This window comes from Homo sapiens, chromosome 15 (genome assembly GCF_000001405.40).
Source record: "Homo sapiens chromosome 15, GRCh38.p14 Primary Assembly".
Classification (NCBI taxonomy): Eukaryota; Metazoa; Chordata; class Mammalia; order Primates; family Hominidae; genus Homo; species Homo sapiens.
In genome coordinates, this window is record NC_000015.10 from 30,154,175 (window position 1) to 30,167,609 (window position 13,435).

Here is a 13,435-nt window from a genome sequence, read left to right on the forward strand (position 1 = left end):
CTTCCCCTCAGAAAGCCATGCCCAAAGGACCAGGAGAAGCTCTTTATCGATCAAAGATATTTTGCATAATATTAACAACTGTAGTAAACCAATAATAATAGACATCATCCAATTAGTACACAGTCAGCCTGGGTAGCATAGCAAGACCCTATCTTTAGAAATTTTTTTTTTTTTTAATTAGGCATGGTGGAGGCTGAAGTGACAGAGGATCACTTGAGTCCAGGAGTTTGAGGTTACATGAACTATGGGTGACTAAGTAAGGTTCTATCTCTTAAAAAAAATAGTAGTACATATATGTGCCAAGCACTATGCAAAGCACTTTCCATGCATTATTCATCTAATCCAAAAAATAACCTAATGGTTTTTATTGTTTCCATTTAACAGATGGGGAAACAGGTTCAGAGAGGTTAGAAAGTTTTTCCAAGGTCACTTAGCTGTAAGTTCTGAAACTGAGGTTTGAACTGGTCTACCCAACTCCAGAGCTTGTATAGCTAATCACTCTCCTATATCTCATTTAAATCTAACCTCACCACTCTAGGAAGGAGACAAGGTTTTACACTGAGGGCTCCTCTTTCAACCTCTCTCCTTGACTTCCAAGGATTTCTAGATATTACTCTGCCTAGAATCTCTGCCCAGCTCCATGACACTTGAACTCTCCACATCCCTGACTCCAATTCCTCCTCCTGCCCTCCAAGACTCCTCAGCCCTCTGTAGTTTCTTCATGGGCTCCCTCAGTGCCCACTCAGGGTTTGTTTTGACCTCTCCTGTAGGAAGACGGCACCCACATCTCCATCTCTAGCCCTTCCTCCCGGGTCCACTCTGTAGCCCCTACTCCAAGTTCATCTCTAGCCCTGCCCCCACATGCAGCTGCACATTAGCCTTCCTGCATCAAAGATGTGATGTTTATTAATAACATAACCCAGACTTACTGTAGAAAATTTGGGGAGAGAGAGAAATCCCCCCATAATTCTACCCTCCAAAGTCAACTAGCATTTGGGGCATTCTATGCTGGTATTTTTTCTGAGTATGTTTTACATGTTGAGGCCATGCTATGCATAGTTTTTTTGAAGATTTTTTACATAAAATTTCATCATAAGCCTTTTCCTTTATTGTTTTGTATTATTAAATAGCTACAGAATATCGTACTACATGGTAACACCATAATTTGTTTAGCCATTCCACTATTAGACATTTAGGCAGTTTTCAACTTTTTGCTAGTAAAACACTGAGCATATATGTTGGTCTTCATTTAAGGCAATGTTCTTACGAGCTTCCAAACTCTGCCCCCCCATAATTCTGTCCTCTCCACCGAGCTCTTTTTGCTCCTCGGGGCTATGCACTCATTTCTCAACTGAAAGTCCTATGAGGGAAGATCCTGTGTTGGCAACAGCACCCCTCCTGCCAAGCACACAGTGGGCACTCAGGGTATTTGTTGATTGAGGTCCTCTGAGGCAACATAGCAGCATACACCCACAGGTATTCCAGGATGCAGGAATAAACAGCACAACTCCCTGAAGCATCCGTTTTACTGAATGGCAATTTACAGTATTTTTAAATTAAAACAAGCTGGAAATATAGAGTAGGATGCATACAGCACAAGAATTTAAAGAAAAAATGTGAGACTTTTCTTACTGCATGTTAGGGATGTGTTAACTCTCCTCTGGACTCAGGGTTCTTCTGAAGGAACATTTTAGAAGCTCTTAGGTTCTGTCCCTTCCTTTCAAAACCTGCTGAGATCCCCTCCCCAGCCCTGGAGACTGCTCCAGCCTTAAGTACTTTTGGTGACCTGCACATTGATGCAATGTAGGTTCATTCACCAAGCATTTATTAAACTCTTACTACCTGCCATGTTGAAATAGCCTTGACCCCAAAACTGGTCTTGAAGTGAAAAACCAAGGTCCACTGGACTTCACCTCTGGGGACAAAGAGATGGGTGCAGTTTGGCGGGAACTGCAAGTAGCCACACAAGGGGATAAATATGTGTCCAGGGCCTTCCGCCATGTCCATCTCCCCTCACTTCTACAAAACTGTTAAGGGCTCTGTGACCTTTTTTTCAAAAAACAGCTTTATTGAGATGTAATTCATATATAAGTCACCCATTAAAGTATACAGTTCAGTGCATTTTATTGTATTCACAGAATTGTGGAACAATTTGCATAACCTAAGTAGAACATTTTTGCGACCTCAAAAAGAAACCCAGTCCCATTAGCAGTCACTTTTCGTTCCCATCCTCTTCCCAGCTCCAGCAACCACTAATCTACTTTCTGACTCTATAGATTTGTCTATCCTAAACATTTCCTATCAATGGAATTATAAAATATGTGGTCTTTGTGACTGGCTTCTTTCATTTAGTATGATGTTTTCAAGGTTCATCCATGTTGTAGCATGTATCAGTATCTCATTCCCTTTTTATTGCCACATAATATTCCATGGTGTAGGTAGAACACTTTTTTTTTTTTTTGAGACAGGGTCTCACTCTGTCGCACAGCTGGAGTGCAGTGGTGCAACCATGGCTTACTACAGCCTCCACCTCCAGGGCTCAAGTGATCATCCCACCGCAGCTTCCTGAGTAGCTGGGACTACAGGTGCATGCCATCACACCAGGCTAATTTTTTAATTTTTTGTAGATATGGGGTCTCCCTATATTGCCCAGGCTGGTCTCAAGCTCCTGGCCTCAAGCAATCCTCCCACTTCAGCCTCCGAAATTTTGGCATTACAGGCATGAGCCACCGCACCTTGCCTAGAACACATTTTATATTTATCCGTTCATCAATTTATAAACATTTGGGTTATTTCCACTTTGGGCTATTTTATAACTAAATATGGCTAATAATATCCCACTTGTGGGGTATTATGAATAATGCTGCTGTGAACATCCATGTATGTTTTTGCATGGACATACGTTTTCATTTCTCTTGGGTATATACGTAGGTATGGAATTGCTGGGTCATAACTATGTTTGACATTTTAAGGTGCCAGCACCAATTTATGTTCCCACCAGCCATGTATGAGGGTTCCAAGTTTTCCACATCCCAGACAACACTTCTTTTTTTTTTTAATTATACTTTAAGTTTTAGGGTACATGTGCACAACGTGCAGGTTAGTTACATATGTATACATGTGCCATGTTGGTGTGCTGCACCCATTAACTCATCATTTAACAGTAAGTATATCTCCTAATGCTATCCTTCCCCCCTCCCCCCACCCCACAACAGGCCCCAGTGTGTGATGTTCCCCTTCCTGTGTCCATGTGTTCTCATTGTTCAATTCCCACCTATGAGTGAGAACATGTGGTGCTTGGTTTTTTGTCCTTGCAATAGTTTGCTGAGAATGATGGTTTCCAGCTTCATCCATGTCCCTACAAAGAATATGAACTCATCATTTTTTATGGCTGCATAGTATTCCATGGTGTATATGTGCCACATTTTCTTAATCCAGTCTTATCATTGCTGGACATTTGGCTTGGTTCCAAGTCTTTGCTATTGTGAATAGTGCTGCAATAAATATACGTGTGCATGTGTCTTTATAGCAGCATGACTTATAATCCTTTGGGTATATACCCAGTAATGGGATGGCTGGGTCAAATGGTATTTCTAGTTCTAGATCCCTGAGGAATCGCCACACTGACTTCCACAATGGTTGAACTAGTTTACAGTCCCATCAACAGTACAAAAGTGTTCCTATTTCTCCACATCCTCTCCAGCACCTGTTGTTTCCTGACTTTTTAATGATTGCCATTCTAACTGGTGTGAGATGGTATCTCATTGTGGTTTTGATTTGCATTTCTCTGATGGCCAGTGATGATGGCATTTTTTCATGTGTCTTTTGGCTGCATAAATGTTTTCTTTTGAGAAGTGTCTGTTCATATCCTTTGCCCACTTTTTGATGGGGTTGTTTGTTTTTCTCTTGTAAATTTGTTTGAGTTCATTGTAGATTCTGTATATGAGCCCTTTGTCAGATGAGTAGGTTGCAAAAATTTTCTCCCATCCTGTAGTTTGTTTTGCTGTGCAGAAGCTCTTTAGTTTAATTAGATCCCATTTGTCAATTTTGGCTTTTGTTGCCATTGCTTTTGGTGTTTTAGATATGAAGCCCTTGTCCATGCCTATGTCCCGAATGGTATTGCCTAGGCTTTCTTCTAGGGTTTTTATGGTTTTAGGTCTAACATTTAAGTCTTTAATCCATCTTGAATTAATTTTTGTATAAGGTGTAAGGAAGGGATCCAGTTTCAGCTTTCTACATATGGCTAGCCAGTTTTCCCAGCACCATTTATTAAATAGGGAATCGTTTCCCCATTTCTTGTTTTTGTCAGGTTTGTCAAAGATCAGATGGTTGTAGACATGTGGCATTATTTCTGAGGGCTCTGTTCTGTTCCAGTGGTCTATATGTCTGTTTTGGTACCAGTACCATGCTGTTTTGGTTACTGTAGCCTTGTAGTATTGTTTGAAGTCAGGTAGCATGATGCCTCCAGCTTTGCTATCTATGACAAACCCACAGCCAATATCATACTGAATGGGCAAAAACTGGAAGCATTCCCTTTGAAAACTGGCACAAGACAGGGATGCCCTCTCTCACCACTCCTATTCAACATAGGGTTGGAAGTTCTGGCCAGGGCAATCAGGCAGGAGAAGGAAATAAAGGGTATTCAATTCAGAAAAGAGGAAGTCAAATTGTCCCTGTTTGCAGATGACATGATTGTATATCCAGAAAACCCCATTGTCTTAGCCCAAAATCTCCTTAAGCTGATAGGCAACTTCAGCAAAGTCTCAGTATACAAAATCAATGTGCAAAAATCACAAGCATTCTTATACGCTAATAACAGACAGACAGAGAACCAAATCATGAGTGAACTCCCATTCACAATTGCTTCAAAGAGAATAAAATACCTAGGAATCCAACTTACATGGGACATGAAGGACCTCTTCAAGGAGAACTGCAAACCACTGCTCAATGAAATAAAAGAGGATACAAACAAATGGAAGAACATTCCACGCTCATGGGTAGGAAAAATCAATATCATGAAAATGGCCACACTGCCCAAGGTAATTTATAGATTCAATGCCATCCCCATCAAGCTACCAATGACTTTCTTCACAGAATTGGAAAAAACTACTTTAAAGTTCATATGGAACCAAAAAAGAGCCCACATTGCCAAGTCAATCCTAAGCCAAAAGGACATTTGCTATTATGTCTTTTTGTTTACCGTGATCCTGGTGGAGGTGAAGTGGCATTTCATTGTAGTTTTGATTTGCATTTCCCTGATGTCTAATGATGTTGCATATCTTTTCATGTGCTTAAGGGCCATTTGTGTGTCTTCCATAGAGAAATACCTATTCAAATCCTTTGGTCATCTTAAAATATTTTGTCTTTTTATTATTGAGTTGTAAGAATTTGTATATATTCTGCATACCAGTTCCTTGTTGAACATATAATTTGCAAATATTTTCTCCCATTCTAGGGTTATATTTTCATTTTGTGTGTGTGGTGTTTTTTTGTTATTTGTTTTTGAGATGGAGTTTCACTCTTGTTGCCCAGGCTGGAGTGCAATGGCACAATCTCAGTTCACTGCAACCTCTGCTTCCCAGGTTCAAGTGATTCTCCTGCCTCAGCCTCCCAAGTAGCTGGGATTATTATAGGCGCTCACCAACATGCCTGGCTAATTTTTGTATTTTTAGTAGAGACGGGGTTTCACCATGTTGGCCAGCCTGGTCCCAAACTCCTGACCTCAGTTGATCTGGCCTCCTTGGCCTCCCAGAGTGCTGGGATTACAGGCATGAGCCACTGTGCCCGGTCATATTTTCAGCTTTTAATGGTGTCCTTTGAAGCAAAAAAGTTTTCAATTTTGATGATGTCCAATTTAGCTATTTCTTTTGTTGCCATATTTTTGGTGCTATATCCAAGAAACCATCACTAAACCTAAGGGCACTAAGATTTACTCCTTTGTTTTCTTATGGGAGTTGTATAGTTTTCAGTCTCACATTCAAGTCTACAATCCACTTATTTTTTAAGACACGGTCTCACTCTGTCACCCAGGCTGAAGTGCGGTGGCACAATCATGGCTCACTGCAGCCATGGCCTCCTGAGCTCAAGTGATCCTCCAGCCTCAGCCTCCCGAGTAGCTAGACTACAGCTATGTGCCATTACACCTGGCTAATTTTTAATTTTCTTCTAGAAATTAGGTTTCACTATGTTTCTACAATCCACTTTGAGTATGGCATAAGGAAGGCGTTCACATTCATTCGTTTGTATGTGGATATCCATTTGGTGTATAACATTTGTTGAAAAGACTATTCTGTCCTCCATCCAATTGTCTTATTCCCTTGTAAAATAGCAACTGACCACAAATATGAGGGTTTATTTCTGGACTCTCAATTCTATCTGTATGTCTAACCTCATGGCAATACCACACTGGTTTTATTTTTTATTATTTTTTTAATAGCACCTGCCTACTATTGACCATACTGTCTTGATTACTGTAGCTTTGTAGTAAGTTTTGAAATCAGGCAGAATGGGTCTTCCAACTTTGTTTTTTGTTTGTCTGTTTTTGAGCCAAGGTCTCACTCTGTCACCCAGGCTGGAGTACATGGCGTGAACATGGCTCACTGCAGCCTTGACCTCCCGGGCTCAATTGATCCTCCAACCTCAGCCTTCTGAGTAGCTAGGACTACAGCCCCATGCCACCACAACTGGCTAATTTTTGTATTTTTGTAGAGAAGGGGTTTCACCATGCTGCCCAGGCTGGACTTGAACTCCTGGGCTCATGCAATCCACCCGCCTTGGCCTCCCAAAATGCTGGTACTACAGGCATGAACCACTGCACCAGGCCTGTTCTTCTTTAATCAGGATGTTTTGGCTATTCTGGGTTCCTTGCATTTCCATATGAATTTTAGGACCAGCTTGTTAATTTCTACAAAATAGCTGGAATTTTGATAGGCATTGTGTTGAATCTGTAGATCAGCTCAGGGATCATATCAACAATGTTGAGTTTTCCACTATTTTCCCACTTATTTAGACCTTTAATTTCCTTCAAGATTGTTTTGTAGTTTTCAACTACAAATCTTGCACTTCTTTTGTTCCTAGGTATCTTACTCTTTTTGATGTCATTATAAGTGGAACTGTTTTCTTAATTTCACTTTCAGATTGTTCATTGCTAGTGTATAGAAATATAATAGATTTTTGTATCTCAGTCTTGTACCCTGCCATATTGCTGAACTCATTGGTTCTTTTTTTTTTTTTTTTTTTTTTTTTTCAGACAGAGTCTCACTCTATCGCCCAGGCTGGAGAACAGTGGTGCAATCTCAGCTCACTGCAACCTCTGCCTCCTGGGCTCTAGCAATTCTCATGCCTCAGCCTCTCTAGTAGCTGGGATTATAGGCATGTGCCACCATGCAGGGCTAATTTTTGTATTTTTAGTAGAGATGGGGTTCCACCATATTGGCCAGGCTGGTCTTGAACTCCTGACCTCAGGTGATCCGCCTGCCTCCACCTCCCGAAGTGCTGGGATTATAGGTATGAGCCACTGCGTTCAGCCTGAAATCATTTGTTCTAATAATTTGTGTGTGTGTGCGTGTGCGTGTGTTGGTGGATTCCTTAGGATTTTCTAGATATAGAATCATGCAAATGAAGACAGTTTTCCATTTTCTTTTTCTTCCCTAATTGCCGTGACTAGAACTTCCAGTCCACTGTTGAACAGAAGTGGTGACATTGGGAATTCTTGTCTTTTTCCTGATCTTTGGGGGAAAATCTTTCAATCTTTCTTCACTTAACATAATGTTAGCTGTTAGCTGTGGGCTTTTTGTAGATGCCATTTATCAGGTTGAGCCTAGCTCCTCCATTCTACCCTTGCCCCTGGATTGGCAGTCCTCCTCCCCTTTCTGCAGACAGCTGCCCACAGCCGGTCCACGGTCCCTACAGCACCCCACCCTCTCACTCTCCACTGCAGGGTGGGCAGGAGGCAGCACGGGCTGCGGGAAGAGGCTGAATGTAGTCCCAAGAATGCCAACCACTTGTCATTTGACTCCAAACAAATCCCTTTGTGAAACTTGATTTCTTCAATATACAATTGTGGAAAATAATACCTAATTTTCAGAACTGCTGTGAAAAATTTAAAAATAAATTTGGTTGTGTCTGGCACATAGAGGGCATTCAATAAATGTGGGTTGGATGTGAATCTGAGAAGTGTTCATTGAACCTTATCTGAGGCACCTGGAAGTGGCCCTGGCACTGTAGAGGGACCCAAGGTTCATGGTGGATGCGGGCTTTCTCTCCAAGACTGACCATCCAGAAATGGTCCTGTAGCAAAGTAAAGCTGCTTGGAGTGAAATGAACCAGCCAGGAATGAAGATGTTTAATGCTCCAGAGGTTCAGGGAACCTGCAGGCCAGGAATGAAGGGGGAGAACTGCATTTCAGGAGTGTTGGAGTCCAAGAAAAGGAGATTAGACTTCCCTCTATACCCAGCAGGAACCACTGAAGGGTGCTGAGCAGTTATAAGTGGGGTTTGTGAAGTTAGCTCCATGGGGAGTGGAGCAGGGAGGCTGGTTCCACAGACCAGAAATGGTAAAGACCTGCACTAGGATGGGAAGGTAAGGAATGGAGTAGAGAGAACAGATGTGAGAGACACATTCATTCATTCATTCATTCATTCATTCATTCACTCACTCAAGTATTTACTGAGCTCATATCCTGCTTCCCTCATGGAATTTACCATGCACTTCACATAAGTGCATATGAAATTGTAATTATGAGAAGTGCAAGAAAGGAGAGCCATCTGGTGGTGGTGAGCATTTATAAAGGGGCATACCTGAACTAATCTGGGAAAGCAAAAGTGCTTTCTTGAAAAATTGATGATTGAACTGAGACCCGAAGGGTGGGTATTTATCCAGGTAAAGAGGAGATGAAAGGGCAGCCTAGGCAGAGAGCACAGCCTATGCAAAGGCCCAGAGGTGGGATGCAGTGTGGTGAGTCCAAAGCCTGAGGGAAGGCCAGGGCAGCTGGAGTGGATGGAGCATGGTTCAGGGTGAGGCTGGCAGGCCGGGCAGGGCAGAATCAGGGGCACCATAGGCTGCGTCAAGGAGTTTTGTCCTTCGCAAAGAGGAATGAGAAGCTGTGGGAGGCCTTTTAGGGTGGGGGCAGGGGTAACATGTACAAATGCATATTTTGAAAGTTTCACTTTGGCTGTCATAAGTAAAAAGACTAGGATGGAGCATAACTCCAGAGGAAAGGGGGGAAAGAGTTGAAAACAGCCAATAACAAATGTCATCCCCGAGCTCTTATGAAAGACAGACAGTGTTCCCGGGGAACCTGCCAGAGGAAGATGACTTAGAGCTGCAGAGAGGGAATGTGGGGAGTCCATGAAGCAGCAGCAGCAGATTCGAGGCTTTTCCAGACTCCAAAAAAACCAGGAGGCTATAGCTGCCCAGACAGCAAGGGAATAAAAGATGCCTGAGAAGGAGGCTCTCGGTCAAAGGCAGGCATGGGCAGTGGGCCCAGAGAGTGGATGGGGTGGATTCAGGGCCCACCTCTCAGTTATGCACCCAGTACATGGCACCAGGTGCTGAGACCAGAAGCCTTGGGGTCATCCTTCCCATCCATGTGGGGTCACCCCCCACATCCCAGGTGTCTGCAAACTCATCAACAACCCACAGTGCCTTCCAAATCTGGCCGCTTTCCACCCTCCACCTGGAGTACCACAGTAGCCTCCAATCTGGAAGCTTCCACTCCCCTCCACTCAGCCTGATCTCCACACTGCAGCCAGACTGATCTATTTAAAACCCTCCTGTGGCATCTTGTCACATTTAGAATAAGATCCCTGCCTGGCCTGGCCCCTGGCTGGCTCCCACAGGCATCTCCTGTCCCTGCTCTCAGTCACTCAGTTCCTGCCATGCTGGCCTCTTGCTACCAGCCACAAACCCACCAAACAGACCCCCAGCCCACAGCCTCGGCACTTACTCTCCCTCAGCCTAGAATGCTGTTCCTGGAGAAATCTCCCTGACCTTCCCGGGCCACCATCAGCCCCTCTAGTCTTCTTTTCCCACCATGGTCTGTGGTGCCTACAACTTGTTCACAATTCCCTGCACTCCCTTGGCATTTTTGTGGTATTCACCTGGCAAAGCGCCAGCCCTGGAGAAATCCCACTGACAGCTTTCTCCTTCTCCATGGCTACCCCTGACTGCTGAGCCCCCTGGTGAGAGTCTCCCCACAGTACGAGGGCAGCCCGTGCCCCATCAGTCCCCAGGATCATCCAGGCCCTCTGCACTGCACAGAAACTGCAGGAAACGCCTCCCCACCAGCTTTGCCTCCTCCTCCAGTCTCCGCAGGCCTGTGGCTCCCTCACACCCCTCCTGTCTCTTTCCTGTTGTTTTAAAGAAAAATAAAAGTGAGAAATCTCTCAAAATGTCCCAGCCTCGGGTCAAACCACAGACCTTTCCTCCTGACCCCTTCTCAGTTGAGGGCTTTTCCTCTGGTTAAGCCAGTTCCCGCTCCTGCACAGGATCCCTCCTGACTTCTCAGGAAGTCTTTGCCATCCCTGCCCTTTCTTGTGCCTAACATTTCCCCCTTCCCTCGGCTGAGGCTGGACCAGTCCAGTTTATCACATCACCCACCAAAAATGAGCTCCACCTGCTGCCTTGTTCTCCCTTTCCCTTTGTGACCACACACACACACACACACTTGCGCACACACATACACACATGCACACACATACACACACGTGCACACACACACACATACACGCAACACATGGTCCCCATTTCATCACGTCCGCCTCACTCATCAGCCCCTCCGTTGTGGCTTCTGCCCCATCCCTCTGCTGAAGTAGTTCTTTGTAAAGTCATGGATGATGAACACAAGGTCACTAAACCCAGGCCACATTTTCATTTTCCTTGAGCTGGACCCCTGAGCTGTGGTCACCAGCTGGCCGCTGCCTGCTTTCATCATAACTGTGACTACTCCTCCTTCGGTTGCCTCAGGCTTGCCCTTGGGGTCCTTCCCTTCTCAGCCATGGTGTCTCCCTGAGTGGTTCCTTCCACACCCTGGCATCAGTGCCATCCTCTTCGGTCAGATTCAAGCCACTTCTGAGCTCCAGGCCCACAGGTCAACTGGCCCCCGACATAGCCGCCTGATCTGGGTCTCCTCTTGCTCACCTCCAGTCAGTTCCGTATTTGCCACCAAGGCAATCTTCATAAAATGCAAAGCCGGTCATGTCGCCGTAATGAAAAGCCATCCCAGGGAGACAGGCCAAAAGCCCTAGCGTCGCCTACAGCCCCTCATGCTCTCCATCCAGCAGCACCTCGGCTTTCCCTCCCTGGGTTGCTAACACCAGCCCATACTCCTTCTTTTGTTTCCCCTAATACACTGTATTACCCTCCTCGGGGCCTTTGCACATGCTGTGCCCCCTTCATGGAGCTAAATCCTATGATACAGTTTGGATCTGTGTCCCTGCCCAAATCTCGTGTCAAATGGTAATCCCTGATGTTGGAGGTGAGGCCTCGTGGGAGGTGATTGGATCACAGGGTCAGATCTAGTGATAGTGAGTTCTCATGAGACTGGTCATTTAAAAGTGTGTAGCACCCTCCAACCCCCACTCCCCTGCCTCTTCCTCCTGCTCTGGCCATGTGAAGTGCTGGCTCCCTCTTCACCTTCCGCCATGATTGTAAGTTTCCTGAGGCCTCTCCAGAAGCCGAGCAGATGCCAGCATCATGCTTCCTGTACAGCCTGTGGAACTTCGAACCAACCAAACCTCCTTTCTTCATAAATTACCCAGTCTTAGGTGTTTCTTTATAGCAGTGCAAGATCAGACTAATACAGTCTACACATCTTTCTCAGCTCAAACAGCACTTCCAAGTGCACCTTCCTCCACACACCCATGGCTCCCTCCTCCCCTACCCAGCATCAAGGCCCCAACCACCTACTTTCCCGGCTCTCCATTCTCATCCCCATGGTACTCATGCAGCTTGTGACTGTATAAGCAGCCACCTCATTTGTCTTGCTCACTGCTGCTGCTCTAGTGCAGGTGTTGGCCAACAGCAGTCCAGGGGCTAAATCCAGTCCCCCACCTAATTTTTGTAAGTAAAATTTTGTTGGGACGCTCACTTGTTTACACATTTGTTGTTGTTGTTGTTGAGACGGAGTCTCGCTGTCTGCCAGGCTGGAGTACAGTGGCATGATCTTGGCTCACTGCAACCTCTGTCTCCCGGGTTCAAGCGATTCTCCTGCCTCGGTCTCCCAAGTAGCTGGGATTACAGTTGCCCACCACCACGCCCAGCTAATTTGCTGTAGTTTTGTACAGAAGGGGTTTCACCATGTTGGCCAGGCTGGTCTCGAACTCCTGACCTCAGGTAATCTGCCCACATTCAATAAATATGTGGGTCTGTAAATGATCAAGCAGGAAAGACTTGAGATTGGGTCACATTATGTCATTTCACAGAAGACACTGAATTCTGTGGGGAAGTGGCCTTCCTAGGGTTCCCCCGTGCAGTACAGGCTGGCTCTGGGCCCGGGGCTCTTTCCACAAACCATGTTAAGACTCAGTCGTCATCAGGCTGTATCCAGGGGCACCCACTCAAGCATAGATTGGGAAGGAACCAAGGCCTGGTGTGAGAGTGTGTGTGTGTGTGTGTGTGTGTGTGTGTGTGTGTGTGTACAGTGAGACCCCAAAGCTGGCATGGGAGGTAGGGGCATTGCGCACAGCTTTGGGAACTGCCCACCCTTCCTCTCCTCTTGCAGCAGGCCTAGGACTATAGAGAGTCAGACATACCCCGTTATGAACCATTTCACCTCATGTGGTTTCTTTCACCTCTCTGAGTGTCAGACTTCTAAACTATTGGAATGCAGCTTTTATTCCTAAACCCTCGAGTTGAGGCTGGGATTAAATGAGACGTTGCATGGGTGGAGACCACATGTCCTTCCCACAGCCCACGTCTACCCAGCATGTAGAGAACCACTGCTTATTTTTCCCAGGCTGCCCTTGGGTTGCATTTCCATTTTCCCTGGGAGACATGCCAGTAGCTGAGAGACCAAGATTCCCTCGGCTGTCTCTCCTTCTGATGTGACCCCCTATCACCTGGCTCTGCTGTCCCTTGTAGAGTCAGAGAAAAAAAAATGTAGAAAGAAGGAAAACAGCAGGAGCCCTTTCATACCCCACATGCCACCCCCAAGACTCCTGGAGGCCCGGAGAAGTGAAGCCAGTTGTCCAGGGTCGCACAGGCATTTGGTGGAGGAAGAATCTAAATCCCTGGACCCCCAGTCCAGTGCTTCCTTCCACAGCCCAGCAGCCTCCTCCGCCTCCAGGACTATTTCCCCCACTCTAGGAGGCAGGGCTCCCATGGCTGTGGAGGAATGGCGGTGAGAACGGTGTGAGGGAGAGCCAAATTATCGGGAACTCACAGCTGCCTCGCCTCCCGCATGGCTGGGAGCTGCAGTCCCTGGGAGAGCAGCCAG

The 13,435-nt window shown here is 45.6% G+C and overlaps 1 annotated feature.

Annotated features, from left to right (window-relative positions):
* Positions 12,934-13,435: an enhancer, noted in NCBI's record as "H3K4me1 hESC enhancer chr15:30459311-30459812 (GRCh37/hg19 assembly coordinates)". NCBI's record gives its function as "activates a minimal SCP1, AML or CMV promoter by ChIP-STARR-seq in naive H9 embryonic stem cells {active_cell/tissue: H9 hESC(naive)}" and the evidence as "EXISTENCE:reporter gene assay evidence [ECO:0000049][PMID:30033119]".